The 16,283-nt window shown below is 38.3% G+C and overlaps 1 protein-coding gene across 8 annotated transcripts in view, besides 1 other annotated feature; it reads left to right on the top strand.

Moving 5' to 3' along the window:
* Nucleotides 1-16,283, top strand: part of SPTA1 (spectrin alpha, erythrocytic 1) — a 76,012-nt gene that overhangs the window by 23,068 nt on the left and 36,661 nt on the right. For all 8 annotated transcript variants that reach the window (XR_921911.4, XM_011509916.3, XM_047428883.1 and 5 more), the window contains 11 exons: nt 703-946; nt 2,239-2,361; nt 5,954-6,171; nt 6,992-7,084; nt 8,900-9,037; nt 10,223-10,374; nt 10,995-11,181; nt 12,180-12,281; nt 13,701-13,792; nt 14,995-15,139; nt 15,928-16,109. Coding sequence is in view for 7 of the 8 variants with exons in the window: in XM_011509916.3 (XP_011508218.1) it covers nt 703-946; nt 2,239-2,361; nt 5,954-6,171; nt 6,992-7,084; nt 8,900-9,037; nt 10,223-10,374; nt 10,995-11,181; nt 12,180-12,281; nt 13,701-13,792; nt 14,995-15,139; nt 15,928-16,109 (1,676 nt within the window). In the remaining variant the exon portion in view is untranslated. The remainder of the gene's footprint in view (nt 1-702; nt 947-2,238; nt 2,362-5,953; nt 6,172-6,991; nt 7,085-8,899; nt 9,038-10,222; nt 10,375-10,994; nt 11,182-12,179; nt 12,282-13,700; nt 13,793-14,994; nt 15,140-15,927; nt 16,110-16,283) is intronic.
* Nucleotides 4,742-4,942: a silencer, noted in NCBI's record as "peak429 fragment used in MPRA reporter construct". NCBI's record gives its function as "represses an SCP1 promoter by STARR-seq MPRAs in K562 erythroleukemia cells {active_cell/tissue: K562}" and the evidence as "EXISTENCE:reporter gene assay evidence [ECO:0000049][PMID:32103011]".

The following is a 16,283-nucleotide window of genomic DNA, read 5'->3' as shown; positions in this document are numbered from 1 at the left end:
TACTGTGTCTGCCAGGCCAGGTATAGTTTGCCTCACTAATAAAAATGTAGTGTACCTATTGTATCTATTTCACCATATAGGTATACAACTAAAATTTGATTTCTAGGAAGAGCCTTCAAAATCCTGTTTCTGTATCTCTCCTTTCTCAGATATGATTCAAAGGAGGACAACTAGCTGGTGGCAAGGCACTCCGTTAAATTTATCTTTCTGAGCTTCTGACAATTTTTTATAACATCACGTTTCATCTCATAGGTATTGTTTCTGCTATGCAACAAACTTAAGCCTGAGAAGTTTCCATTTATTTGCAGTTATAGCTCATTTTAAAGAGAGAGAAAGAATACAGAAGGTGAACTGAGATAGAAAAACACTTCCAGTTTTTTCCTTGAGGCCCAGTTTGTCAATACTCTTAAACAATCAAACTCTGCAATTCTAATTTTTCTGATTTCCTTGAAGCATTCTATAAATATTTTGATGTTTCTAAAATATGTTTTGAGAACTACTTTCGTATGAATAGCCCTTACCTGATGTGGTGGTCCCCAGTGTAGCAACCCTTCCAACTCCATTTCACTGATTTAATTAGAGATCAGAACACAATGCATATGGGAACTGATTTTCCCATGACCCCGTTTCCACCATGACAAACTCCTATTACTTCCTACTAAATGATGGGATTTCTTCGCATTCATTCTATTTCTCCCTTAGGATCAGGTGGATATCCTTACAGACCTGGCTGCATATTTTGAAGAAATAGGCCATCCTGATTCTAAGGATATAAGGGCAAGGCAAGAGTCCTTGGTATGCCGATTTGAAGCTCTGAAAGAGCCACTGGCCACCCGAAAGAAGAAGCTCTTAGACCTTCTCCATCTGCAGCTGATTTGTAGAGACACAGAGGATGAGGAGGCCTGGATCCAAGAGACTGAACCCTCAGCTACTTCCACCTACCTTGGTTAGTACAGCCTGAGCAGGCTGAGCCACTAGGAAAGGACCAAGGTCTATATATTGAGAGAGATCTGGGGTACAGTAGTTGGAGTCTAGAAAGCTTGCTCTTAGCTGTTTCTTCTCACACTCATGAAAATTTGTCCAGTCCTTCATAAAAATATTTTTAAAAATTATACTAAAAAATTACACCTCCTAAAACTGGACATGAGCAATGCCATGAATTTAGGGCCCCTGGGAAGAGTAGAGTGCTCAGCATTTTGTTGCGTGCTCTAAAACTGTGAAGGTCTTTGAACAGTCATGGTTAATGCCTGAGATACTAAGTGTTTGTGTTTAGGCTGTAGCTGGCCCCTTCTTATAAATCATATGAGATTTTTCTTCTGACAATAGCAGGGGTGAAGTAGCAGATAAAGCACATACTGTCCTTTCCTTCAGAAGCTGCTAGTTCACCAGTGTCGAAGCCAGTACACTTATACTGAGGCAGAGAAAAAGGTGTACACAAATACAGTGCAACTTAGTATGCATAGTTTGGAAACATCTATGAAAGGCTGGACAATGAGGACAATGAAAGGTTTAGTCTGGGAAAACTTCCTGGAAGATAAAAGCCTGAGGCTTATTGGAAAGGCATAGAAAGTTTCTAGAGAGTATATTTTGAATGGGAAGTAGTAAGAAAGAAAGTTTAGAGGGAAAAGAGATAAAGCATGGTTAGGATACAGGGAGGATAAAGCAGACAGCAGGATTTCGGGATCTTAGAAGATGAAGGAAATTCACAGTGAGAAGTATTTATTGTTTGCTTGTTAATGCTATGCAATCAATGAGGCACTTTTTGTAAGTTATTTCTAATGATTACAAATAGATCTTCAAACCAGTTACACTGTGCCTTTTTCATGATGAGAAAACTTGGGCATAGAAGATTTAAAAACTTTCTGAAGTCCATAGAAATTAGCAAGTAGAAGTTCCTTCCTTGTACATCACAATATGCTGAAAGACAATTGTGTGCCTAATATTGGACATTTGAACTAAGAAGTTACTTGCCTTCATACCTATCTTTCAACAACAATAGTGATGTTTTCATTATCTGTTGTATAACAGTGAATTGAAATTTATTAATAAAAAGAGGCCAGGGGAAGAACAAAGATAAGTAGAGTGAAATCAGACAGATGATATAAATTTAAAGAATCTTACTCAATGGTTAGAACTTCAAAGGAAAGAACCTGTGGGTCCAAGAGTTCTAAAAAAGTGAGGTATGCTACTTCCATACACCAGGATAATCCGAAACTTTGAAATTCCTTTCCTCTGCAGGAAAGGACCTGATTGCTTCCAAAAAGCTTCTGAATAGGCATAGAGTCATCCTGGAGAACATTGCCAGCCATGAACCACGCATTCAAGAGATAACAGAAAGGGGAAACAAAATGGTAGAGGAAGGTATGTATGATTGAGATTCAGTTGGACAAAACATCACCAGGCCAGACCTCTGGGAAGAAGTTTGTACTATCCTAGGGTTTCAAGGGAATTTAAAAATATCTGACTCATTTTCCCACTTAATGCTCTTTTGGCATTTCTGACAAATGGGCATATGGTTTTGTTTGTATATTTCAATAACAGGAATATTCCAATCCTGTGAACCACTATTTGTTTGTAAAACAAAAATTATTAAAGTAAAATGTCTTTATCCTAATCATTAATATGCTTCTCTGTAGAAGTTCCAGAATTCAGAATCTAATTTACAAAGCCCTATGAATTAAATCAGGTCTCTTTTCCATATGGGAGCTTCCAGATCTGTGAAGGCAGATCTTAGTTATGCAGTGTTGAACTATTTTTATAGTAAACTGTTCCATTTCTTTAGCTTCTCACTTCATATAGTTTCAATACCTCTGTTCATTCTTTTCATCCAATTCAGAAATTCCTGATGCTTAAGTATGATGTTCAGTTTTGAACATCATAAGCCAGGTATGGTATAAGCAGTGCAGATTACACTGGGATTTTCCCTCTGTTGATTGAAGAATCAGTTGATGCCAACCAGTATCTAGTTTTCAAAAGTATAGGTTAAAATTCAGTTTGCTGAGAAAAACTTCAGATCCCACCTGAGTGATTCAAACCAACAACTGTAGAAATTCGCCTGTTTTTTAAATCTTCAACTATACTTGTAGATTTTGTCTTCTTCTCTTTTCAGTTCTATCAGTTTTTGTTTCTTATATTTTGAAGCTCTGTTATTACATGCATATACATTTAGTATTGTTATGTCTTTTTGATGAAGTTAAATCTTCACATTATGAAATATCAATCTTTATCCCTGGTGAAATTCTTTGTTCTGAAGCCTTTAGTAAACTAATAAAAGCCACATGAGCTATCTTTTGATTAGTTTTTGCATAGTGCATATTTCTCCATCTTTTTGCTTGCACTCTGTTTCTTATATTTAAAGTGAGATTCTTATAAATAGCATATAATCAGGCCTTGTTTTTATTCTATTCAATCTGGTAATTTTTCTTTTTTAATTGTGATATTTAGACAATTTACACTTAGTGCAATCATCAATATGGTTTATTTTAAATCTGGCAAGTTGCTATGTTTTTTCTTTTTATCTATCACTTTATGTCTCCTTTAGATCAATTTTGTATTTATTGTGATTCCATCTTATCTTCAAATTGGCCTATTAGCTACAATTGCTGTTTTGTGTTTGTGTGTGTATGTTTATTATAGCACAGTGATTTTGCCATTGTGATTTGGAGTCCTTTTAGGGTCTCTGACACACTCTTAGTGGATTCACAAAGTTAAAATATTTTCATAATAATGCTAAGACTAGGCCGGGCGCGGTGGCTCACGCCTGTAATCCCAGCACTTTGGGAGGCCGAGGCGAGTGGATCATGAGGTCAGGAGATCGAGACCATCCTGGCTAACAAGGTGAAACCCCGTCTCTACTAAAAATACAAAAAATTAGCCGGGCGCGGTGGCGGGCGCCTGTAGTCCCAGCTACTCGGGAGGCTGAGGCAGGAGAATGGCGTGAACCCGGGAAGCGGAGCTTGCAGTGAGCCGAGATTGCGCCACTGCAGTCCGCAGTCCGGCCTGGGCGACAGAGCGAGACTCCGTCTCAAAAAAAAAAAAAAAAAAAAAAAAAATAATGCTAAGACTATTATTTTCTTTTACAGACTTATTCTTTTATAAGCATAGAATGGAGTTTCCCAGAGCCTAGAGATGGGTGATGATGTCACTGTTCTGTCTAATGGAGTATATGCTTGTACATTCTTTTCTTTCAAAGCTTCTTGTTTTGATTTCTTATATGGGAACTATTAATCAGTCTAACTATATAAGCAAAAGATATTTTGCATTCTTAATAATTTTTAAAATTGTAAAGGGATCCCAAAAGCACAAATTTGAAAGCCACTATTCCAGGAATTAAAATATAGATTTTTTTAATCTATCATAGTCTAATTTCAAATAATATTATGCATTTCATGTTTAATATAAGATTCTTAAATTGATACTTCCATTTGTTTTCACCCTTGTGCTATTGGTGTCACATATTTTAAATTTTTACATGTTATATACCCTATAATTCAACATCATTATCTTTGCTTTGGTAGTCAACTGGTTTTGAATGAGATTATTAAATGAGAAAAAAATTCACCCTCATAGTTCCCATTTCCAGTATTCTTCATTCCTTTCTTTAGGTTAATATTTTCATTTGTATTATTTTTCTTCTGCTTGAAGAACTTCATCTAACATTCCTTATATTGCAGGTCTTCTATCCATAAATTCTCTAGACTTTTGTTCATCTAAAGGTCTTCATTCTACCTTCCTTTTTGAAATATATTTTCACTACATATAAAATTCTTGGTTGACAACTTCTTTCTTCCAGTATTTTAAAGATGTGCTGTCTTGTCTTCTGACTTTGCAAGCTTCTGATAAGAAGTCTGCTGTCATCATGATCTTTGCTCCTCTGTATGTAATATGTCTTTTTTTCCCCCTCTACCTGTTTTAAAGCTTTTCTCTTTATCACTGGTATTAAACAACTTGATTATGCTATAACTTGATGGAGTTTTCCTTGTTTATTCAGCTCGGTGATTGTTGAGCTCCTTGGATCTGTTTTGTTATGGTACTCCTGGGGCAGGGTTTATTAGGGGACTGATTTAGAGATGAAAGTAATATTGAGATATGTTACTCTTCTGAGGACCCTATCTCATGTATTACAATATTTTTCCACTTTGATGGGTGGAATGTTAACTATTTTCATTCTTAATTGAGGCCTAGAAGTTGTTTGTCCACTGCTTTTAAGTCACTCTTTTCTCACCCTCCAGGATTTCCTTATACATGTGTGCATATGAGTAATCAGACAAATACTCTAGGGAACTTCTCTGAAAAGGTCTATCTCTCTGTAACACCCTTCTCTTTGACACTCAACCTCACAAGTTCTAGTTCTCTTGTCTTTCCCAAATGTTGATCTCTGTGTCCTCAATTCAGTGTGACTGGTGGTTCTATCTGGGTTAGCTACCCAGGCCTACAGCCCAGAAACCTCCTGAGGCATAAGCTTGGCAATTATAAAATATATCTCATTTATTTCCCTTCTCTCAGGAATCAGAGTCCTCTCTCCATTGTCTGAAAATCATTTTATCTTACAGCTTTTCCTGTTTTCTAGTTGTTTAGGGTGGAAGAGCAACTCTCATAGTAATAACTCCTTTATGGGAAGAAATGGAAATCAGCTGATTTTTCTGCTTCATCTAAAGAAGACATGATTTTGGAACTCTCAGTCACCCACACATTAGTATTCTGTTTTCAAGTCTGTCTTTGTCAGACAATACCAACCCATTCACCACCACATGCATATCTCCCATTAGTACCTTTTGTTACTTAATCTCACTTAGGATATTTCAATTCCCAGGTAACTCAAGAAAAATATAACGTCGACTAAATAACATACCATTTTTATCACTTCCTTTCTCTTTTCCAAGGTACCAAAAGGATTAGAGTATGGTAAACACTCATGAGGATCATACTCACCTTTTCTATAATTACTCCATAGGACACTTTGCTGCAGAAGATGTGGCCTCTAGGGTCAAGAGTTTGAACCAGAATATGGAGTCTCTCCGTGCTCGAGCTGCTAGGCGACAAAATGATCTTGAAGCCAATGTCCAGTTCCAGCAGTACCTGGCTGACCTGCATGAAGCAGAAACATGGATCAGAGAGAAGGAACCTATTGTAGATAATACTAACTATGGTGCTGATGAAGAAGCAGCTGGGGTAAGGTGGGGGTGGGTTTAACATTGTGAATCCTCAACAAACGCAACCAAATTATCAATTTAGGGTTTGCTTAGGTTGTGGGACAGCTACAGATTCTGCCAGATTATTTGGGGTTTCCAGAGTGGTCGCCGTTGGCCTTCATCTGCTGAGACTCCCTCAGAGTTGACAGGAATCCCAAAAGATATGCTACATTTTTCTCATCCCATGGAGATTCATATACTCTTTAGAGATTATCTAAATCAAAAAAGTGTGATCAGAGTCATAGTCATAATCCGATCCTAAACTTTCCAGAGTAACCTTGAGCATTTATAAATTAATCATGGTTTTAAGATAGAGACACCTTAATTACTTGATTAAAATAAAATTGGACAGATATGTTGGGGCAAGAAGAACCACAAAGGTTATAATCACACTTTTTATCCATTTATTTGTTTTGCACATTGTCCCATAGGAAGCTGGTATAGTATTTCACAAACCTTTGGAACTAGAAATTATTGGTATGCATATTTTAAGTTACACTAATGTTTATCCTATAAAGTAACAGTATCAACAGCATCCTCTTTTCAGCTATAATCTGTGTTGATAAAAATACTTTTGCAAGTTTGAGTTAATTTTGATTTTAGTAAACATATTGAAATTATAATTTATTAATTCCTATTTCCTTCATGCTTGCAAATTTAGGGTTAAAAATAACTTTATGATAGATGGAAAGCAGCTTTTACCAGGATTTAAGACAAATAGCATAACCCAAAATAATAGTAGTTGAAATAATAGTGTTCCTCCTATATTCATTCTGATGATCTTCCATCAATAAATGCAGGCTCTTCTAAAGAAGCATGAGGCCTTTCTATTAGATCTCAATTCATTTGGAGACAGTATGAAAGCTCTGCGGAATCAGGCAAACGCCTGCCAGGTAAGACTAACTTAGCGATGACAGGATTCACACTTCCCACCACAAAGAAAAAGAAATTGTCTTTATTGCTGATTTTTTACTTTCTACAACCCCAAAAACAATGGCAAAGAAAACACTAAGTTCTATGACCCTTGTATGCAGGAACTGTAGCATCCACAATTTAGTCCAAAGGAGACTTTGTCCAAAAGAGGTTTTTGATAAATGGTATCATGTCTTCATTGATGTATTTTTGGCTTTCCTCTTTCCTTCCTTTTATATTTCTACCCTTCTTTCTTTCTTACTTTTCTTCATTTATGTCTCTCCTTCTTATCTTTCTTCTTTACTCCCTTCTTTTGTTTCTTAATTTTTAATGCCAAAACTTATTAAATGTCTACTATATGTAAGTATGAATAAAAAATCCTGATTTGCAGGAAAATTACAGTCTATTAGGAGGCCAGATGTTTAACAGTAAGTGCATATAATAGATGTATGAACAGGACAAAGAGTCTCAAAGAAAGGCCTCTTGTGTTCTCTTGAAATAACAGTACTGGAAAACAGGAAAATTTTTGTAAGCTAAGGGAAACCGCCTGATCTGAATTATTAAGGAAAGACAGATGGGTAGTTTACTGTGCAGAGAAAGAGGATAAGCGTTTTTCTAGTCAATAAACCATGAGAGCAAATGCACTGAGGCACAAAACAATCAAGTTTTGTGGAAAATGCAATTGGTTAAGAATGTGAGAATGGAAGATGCAATTGGTTGAGAATATGAGAATGGCTCAGGTACAGGGCAAAACTGGGTGTCATGAAGATTAATTGAACTGGAATCAAATAAATGTTATAACAATGTCTACTATATGTAGTGGTAGAAAAAAAGAGACACACTTCTTACCTTCAAGGAATTCTTTCTAATGAGAGGTTGTTAATCCACACATTCAGAGTAAACAAAAGACGTAGACTCAGTCTGTCAAATCAGTGTATATTTACAGACCTCCTATACTGTGCCTTCACCAGGCTCTGCACAGTGGGTGCCTAAACAAGAACAGAAGGATTTATATATTGTGTGGTATGAGGAAACATGTTACCTAAAGGAGATGAAATTAGAGGGCTCTGTCGGTGGAGGTGCATATTCAACTCCAACCTGAGGAAGGGGTGGGTCATTCCTTAGGAAGAGGGGTTATGTTTTGCTTGATTTCTCAGAGACATGAAATTGGCAGAAAGTAAAAATCAGAGAAAATTCTACCTTAGAATGCAGGCTGCTTACTAAACTGAGACACAAGATACTTTTAATGATCTCAGTTAATGTTCTCAGTTTTTAAAATTCTGTGGCCTTTCCTGTGCTATTGATCACTCATATCTCAAATAGAAGGTCCGGAGCTCCTGACATAGTAACTTAAAGGCCAGAAGGAGTGGGAAGAATTATCACTGGAGGTACAGGGAAAGGTGACGACAGAGAGTGGGTCTTTTCACTTTCTCAAACAATTTTTTGAAATGTTGATGTGTATAATCCTGTTGGACCTTCTTAAGGGAGTACACTTCTTAAAATGTACTCCTCCCATTTTAAGAACTGATGGCTTAGAGCATTTAATACGTTTCTGACAAATTATGTATTTCCTTCCTTGCTTTGGGTTTATAGTTCCCAACCTGCCTGTCCCCGATAAGTGTCAGAATGGAGCAGTCTCTCTGAAGACCACATACTTTAATCTCTGCAGCCACGTAAGAGGTTCCAGCCAGAGGCTCTTTTCTCCTGGGAAGCCTAAAGGACTACTCACCCCTGGTAAGCTGTACAGGGAGATATTTCCAGTGCGTGACTGACACCTGCTTCCTGTTTTTATTCAGCAACAACAGGCTGCACCAGTGGAGGGAGTTGCTGGAGAACAAAGGGTCATGGCTTTATATGACTTCCAGGCCCGCAGCCCCCGAGAAGTCACCATGAAGAAAGGTGATGTCTTAACGCTGCTCAGTTCCATCAATAAGGTGACTTTTCCTTCTAATCTTTCCATCAAAAAGTGGCTCTTTCAGAACCATCTCTCCCAATCCTGCCAGATATTCATATTTTTACCATCTAACATTTATTTTATTATTTTATTTCTTGAATAACTATAACTGATTAGGTAGTATTTTTCCTGTAGATATTTTGCAGGATCCTACACATATCTTTTGGAATTATAATCCCAATGTTGCAGTTAAAATCATAAAGAATTGAAGTTATATAATTAGCCCAAAGATATAGAAAGTATGAGTGGAAATTCTATAATATATTTAAAGGGCTAAGCTGTCTCTTTCTTTCTTCCTCTTTGCTTGTTCCTCTTCTGTGCCAGTATTTCTAGTGATAAAATAACAATGTCTGGGGTTAGAAGGAGCCTACCAAAAGATGAGTCTTTTGTCAACTTGATTTTCTTTAGATCTTGTGCCTGGAAGAACAGTGATAAAATATTGGTTGAGATTTTTAAATATATTTTTCATAAAAACTGAAGTAATTTTTTATACTCTGATACCTAATTAATCTACAAAAATTCTTAAGAAGAAAAGAAAATAGTTTGGGCTATAGTTATTCCAAAGACAAGTAAATGTTTGGAGCGGCAGATGTTTCATTATCAAATAATGTGTGCCAGTCCATTTTTTCTTTGTCTAGGCCTCTTCATTATTTTTTGAGGAAATTAGCCTCAGGGTTTTGGTAGATGTGGCAACAGTTCAAAAATAAAAAATAAAGTAACACTCAGGTATATGAATGTCAGAGCAATTCACATTTTTCAGACCTCTGCAAGAAGAATAGAAGAGAAGAATTTTTGTGCAATATCCTCTTACACAGACGCTCCACTGCCAAGAAATCCAGCTAGAGCCTGGCTCCATGTGTTTTTTGTAAATTCCTCATGAACAAAGTGCCCCATCATTAAAAGAGCTGTCTTGGGTGTTTGAAAATCTCTCCAAAGTTAAGGGTCTAACATTAGGTATCAGATTACTTGATTTCAGGGGCTTGTCTATGCAATTCTTCATTTCATTTCTTGGTCATATATGAAAATTATGTGCCACTCATTAGACATGGTTAGCTTATCTTTGCCATTAACCTGTGCCTGGGCCAAGAGACTTAGTGTTGAAGTCTCTCCCGTTTGTTGCTTTTCCAAGAATTAATGACGGAGTGGGGATCTGCTCTCCCTTCAGGACTGGTGGAAGGTGGAAGCTGCTGATCATCAGGGCATTGTCCCAGCTGTCTATGTCAGAAGACTGGCCCACGATGAGTTCCCGATGCTCCCACAGCGGCGACGAGAAGAGCCAGGAAACATCACCCAGCGCCAGGAGCAGATTGAGAACCAGTAAGTTCTGGAGCCTGGAGAACTGAACAGTATTTGGTCAGACATTTTTCGCCAAAGGCATTTCTTCTCATGACCCTGCATCTGTTAGATTTGAGATGCCACAGAAAATCTGAAGATTTTAAGAATCGAAAGTAAACCTAGAATCTTTTAAATGTTTCGGTTTCTTTTTGAGGAAAGGCAACCCCAGAATCATTCCATCAATTTCCTGAGGTCATACACTTCACAGAGCTCTTCTGATTCCCTGCCCCACATTCTTTCAAGGTTATTAAAGTCTCCTGACATCTATATGAACTTTGTTTACTATGCCAGGCTTTTCATATCCAATTGTCAGTTACCATGTAAAAATGTCACTTTTATGAAATGGGAAAGGAATGTTGCCAGTCATACTATTGGGTCACTGGCATTTTTACTATTTTTAAATGCAATCCTATGTGTTTATCTTTTTGCCCCCAAGGCTGTTTTCCTTCTAAGTTTATTTCCTCCTCTCTTCTACTATTCTTTTGCTTTTGATTTGTTTTCCCTTTCATTTTTGTTCCTTCTTTCTCTATGTTTGTCACTCAGCCTCTACTCTTCTGTATTTTCTCCTTCTTTTATTCCACTTTTCCCAATTCTCCATCCAGATACCGCTCCCTCTTGGATCGGGCAGAAGAACGCAGACGTCGTCTATTGCAACGTTATAATGAATTTTTATTGGCCTATGAGGCAGGAGACATGCTGGAATGGATTCAAGAGAAAAAGGCAGAAAACACTGGAGTGGAACTAGATGATGTTTGGGAGCTGCAGAAAAAGTTTGATGAGTTCCAAAAGGTGAGAAAGAGGAACCTTCTCTTGAAGGTTGCCATTGTTTGCTTTTATCCCTCAGCATATTCTACATGATCTTTTAATTTATTTCACACTTGTTAAATATTCTCCCCAAAGCTATTGGCAACTCTGTGGCTGAGATCTCCCTCTAGGTATTGTAGTTGCTAATAATTGGAAGGGAAATGCAGAGAAAACTAGTTACCCTAACTGCAGCCTTCAGTGCCTGCCACTCCAAAATCCTCCCTGGAGTGCTGGTCTTCCTGAATTCTTCACAACTTGCCCTATACTATACTTTGTTTCCAGTGCCCAGGTTGGGATAAGGTATTGTTGTACCATGTGTAAAGTTTAATTATGGGGCAGAGTTTGGGGTGGAAGAAGGAAGAACCTGACTTGACAAACAATTTCTAATTTTTTGCCTACCTAAAACCCTTTCAATATTCTTTCTTCCCTTAGATTTTTTTCCATTATCTTAACTAGCAGTGAGTGTACATTCCTTCTTTTCTTTTTCTTTTGATATCTTCCACGTGGGATTTAACACACACACACGCGCACACACACACACAGAGAGAGAGAGAGAGAGAGAGAGAGAGAGCACTCCCTAGAGCTGTTTCTTACAATATCTCATAATATAGGCAGATAATAACTCAGTTAAAGAAATCTTTAAAGCTGGAGTTTGTACTGGTAGAAAAGGATGTTACACAGCTCAGGTATCAATCCCTCTAATGGTATAATTTAATCCAGGGGAGATTTTAAGAAATCTAGAAAAATGGCTGTGCTTCATACTACAGATAAATAATAGTTATCTTGACAAGTTTTGGACAGCCACTAGGTGTCAAGATCTTTAAGGATACTCTTCTCAGTGGTGGATTGGAGGAGAGGAGCTTGGTGTGTATTACGGTGATGTAGGGGCAGAGATGGACAGGTAAGTATGGTAGATTCTTGATGAGGGGATTTACACTGCTTTGGATGAATTTACACTGCTTTGGATGAATTTTCCCATTCAGGATTTGAATACCAATGAGCCTCGGCTAAGGGATATCAACAAGGTAGCTGATGATCTACTATTTGAAGGACTTCTAACACCAGAAGGAGCTCAAATCCGGCAGGTAACTAAGGCTCCCTCCATTCCTCCTCACTACCAGGTTGGGCTTTGGGAGTCCTCATTTCACTTCAACATGGAACTTTATATTCTGCAGACCCACTAGAACATGCAGAAGGTAACAGCAGTATGGAATTAGCTACAGGAAAGGCCAAAGACAATAGCCCAAATAGTCCCTGTATTTTTGTTGTCTAAATTAACTTAATTAAAGCAGGCTCATTTGTTAACATATATTGAGTGTCCTCCATGCCCTCACATATGTCATTTCATGGATGGGGTGGGAAAGGAGACAAAAGTATTGGTAGCAGAAATTAAGATGTAGCTTTAAAAGGCAGGATTAGGAGGTTTAGATAATATTACACTGGACATTAGGTAAATTAGATTTACATCATAGCTGTATTCTTGTCTGACTGTGTGTCCTCAGACAAGTCTCTTCATTTCTAAAAACCTCAGTTTCTATATCTGAAAGCAAATATTGGATAGCACAATATCCAAATTACAATATCCAAACCTCCTCTTAATCTTCTGTACCAGGCTACACCAAATTAAACGTAAAGTTTTTTCCTTACATGTCCACCCAATAATATAATTGAATTTGAACTGCAATTTTGGAATATATACATTTGAACTGATCTAAAATTCTTAAATTACAACACATACTCACCTCTCTTTCACTGTCACACACAGAAGAAATTCTCAATTACATGAATTCAAAGACAATGCAGATAAAGAAGCTATGATAGTGGGAAGAGGTTGATCAAGAAAGTTTACTGGAAGACACAGATTCTGATCAACGTGCTGAAGAAGGAGAATATAGGTCAGTAGAGACAGAGGAGAGGCCATTCTTGACCTGATTCAGATCTGGATCTATGATTCCATAAAAGATCTAATGAACATTAATAAATGTTCAGTCTAGTTCTCTGGAATGCCATAGTCAGTGAGGATGAGTTTTCTGCCTGTTTTTATAGTGGTTGTTATGGGATAAGAAGGTGAAGAAATACGAAGCGGAACAATGTACTTACCCCCTATAGAAAGTAGGGCTTTAAAAGTCTACCTGGTTTATTCAATTCAGAATACAGAATTGTTTGTCTTAGAGAAATGTGATCACTTCTAACTACCAAGGCAACACTTCCCATTCATTTTTTGGAGTTTACAGTGCAGTCTTTGTAATAGCAAGCACTTATTTACTGCTCCGGAGTTGATGGTTTCACCCTTTAACATCAGTTTGGGAAGAAATCACTTTCTCTGCTGCACTGGCAAAAATGAGGCCCAAGCTCAAGCTGTCCAAGAAAGAAGCAAAGCTATGCAATTTCTGAAGAAAATAACGTAAAAACAACTATGTTTTAAATCTTGTCTGGTCTTCAGACGCCACTGAGCCATGTGAGTTAGTTCTCTGTCTCAAGTCTGATGTTTTTGCCTCTTTTAGGAATTGAATTCCCGCTGGGGTTCTTTGCAGAGGCTTGCAGATGAACAGCGGCAGCTGCTGGGCAGTGCCCATGCTGTTGAAGTGTTTCACAGGTAATAATTATAACTCTAAAAAGCAGTGCTGCTTTAAAACCCACTCACTAAACTTCTAAGTCTATTACTATGGTGGAACCATAGTATAATCTTTTTTCGTGAGATGGAGACAATGTGCCAATAGAAAATTAGGTTTTTTAGTAGTATGATTCTCACTTCACAAACAGGATACTCCCAGACAACTAGCTTCAATTTTCTAAAGCCTAGGCTTGGGCCTTGGAACATAATTAGTAGTCTATATATGTTTCCATGAAAATGAATAACACTTAGGCTGAGGGCAGTGGCTCACAGCTGTAATCCCAGCACTTTGGGTGGCCGAGGCAGGAGGATTGCTTTAGGCCGAGAGTTGTAGACCAACCTGGGCAACAAAGCAAGACATTGTCTCCACAAAAAAATAAAAAATGAAAAATTAGCCCAGTGTGGTGGCACAGGCCTATGGTCCCAACTACTTGGGAGGTTGAGCTGGGAGGATCACTTGAGCCAGGAGGCTGAGGCTACAGTGAGCCTTGATCAAGCCATTGCACTCCAGCCTATTGCAACAGAGTGAGACCCTTATCTTCAAAATCAAAACAGAAAGAAAGAAACTTGAAGTTGAAACAGGAGGTTTAAGTAATTACATTTCTCAACTAGAAGCTGACAGTAGAGGGCAACAGACATCACATTGACTATCAGCTCATTCAACATTTTTCTTGTTTGATTTTCAAACTAAGAAACACAAAGACACATACAAAAAAGTAAACAAACAAAACAGAAACTAAACACCTTCATTGTGTATAAATGTATTTTTGATGATGCAGGGAAGGAAAAACAGACTCAGACAGGTCTGTGTGTGTAGAATGCTTAAGATAGAAAGCTATGGAAATATGATGGTTAAGCATGTGACTGCTGTCAGATGGCCTGGTTCAAGCTTAGGCTCCACCATTCAGCAGTGGTATAATCTTGAGAAAATACTTACCCTCTTTAGTCCTCAGTTTTCTGATCTATTTAATGGGAATAGTAATAGTAACTATGCTTCTTGGAGTTGTGAAGATTAAATGAGCCTAAGTTTCTAGCACATAAAAAACAATGATGATAATTGGTTGGGGTGGGGGGGTGGGTGGGAGGATGGTGAGTGGTAGTGATGATAACTTTCTTGTGACCCCCACTAGCCTGCCTCTGGTACATATCCTTACTTTTGAACTCTCTACTCTCTTGTATACCAGAGAAGCAGATGACACGAAGGAGCAGATTGAGAAGAAATGCCAGGCCCTCAGTGCTGCAGACCCTGGCTCAGATCTGTTCAGTGTTCAGGCTCTTCAGCGACGGCATGAGGGCTTTGAAAGGGACCTCGTACCCCTGGGAGATAAGGTGAGACAAGTCCTTCAAAGCTTTTCCAACACTTTCCAGTCTATATTTAGCCGTATACCAATGCCCTCTTCTTTGGTTCTCTTTTTCAGTCTTTTATTCTTATATTTCTCTCTGTTCTGTGCCATATTTATTCTTGTACACTGTCCCTAAGGCAAGACCATGAAAAGGATATGCCCCATGACCATTAACATGGGGAAAAAACTTGTTAAACTCCTGCTGTCTGAGTGAGCACCCTATATCCCCTTGCCTCTTTGGTGGGTTACAAGTGACCAGATCTTGTGGCAGCTAGGTGGAGGCCAGTAGCCCAGAAGAAATAGCAAATGTCCATACCCAGGATGATCAGGCCAATATCTGAGTATGGTGCATGTTTTTCTTAGCAAGGAATTGAATGAGTTGTTTAACTCTGTTTCAACCCAAAAGTGTACTCTGGAGCTTGTCAGATATACTCAGAGGCTTGGCATTATCATGCAGAGCAAAAAGAAGCTCCTCACATGAAGAATCAAGACCCTTGGGTTTCCTAATTGAGGTTGCCACTAACCAGCAGAGTCACTTAACCACTCTTCCCCACAACTCTCTTATTTTTAAAAAGAAGTATGGTAATGCCAATTGTAACTACCTTAGGGAGTTATGTGGACTAAAAGGTTGATATTATTTTGTAAAGTATGATGACATACTTGTACATCACTGATATCTATTTGAGGAGCTGAATACTGGGACTCAGGATTCTCCTTTTGCTAAGATTCAGGTGTGTCTCTAGGCTGATTATCAGAGCTATTGTACCTCCCCAGGTGACCATACTGGGGGAGACAGCAGAGCGGCTCAGTGAGTCCCATCCAGATGCCACTGAGGACCTGCAGAGACAGAAAATGGAGCTGAATGAGGCCTGGGAAGACCTGCAGGGGCGTACAAAGGATCGTAAGGAGAGCCTAAATGAGGCCCAGAAATTCTACCTGTTCCTCAGCAAGGCCAGGTAGAGTGGGGTGGGTAACTTCCGTGTCTGGCCTCTAAGTAGACTGTCTGGGAGCAGTCTGGGTACAGATGCTGTTCACTGCTGGTTTTGGAGGGCATCACTACGTTTAAGTCTCACCTCTTGCAAGGCATAAAAAATTTCAGGTTTGAAACTAGAAGCAATAAAATACAAAGT

Source organism: Homo sapiens, chromosome 1 (assembly GCF_000001405.40).
Source record: "Homo sapiens chromosome 1, GRCh38.p14 Primary Assembly".
NCBI classification, from domain to species: Eukaryota; Metazoa; Chordata; class Mammalia; order Primates; family Hominidae; genus Homo; species Homo sapiens.
This window is presented reverse-complemented; position numbering and strand designations above follow the sequence as displayed.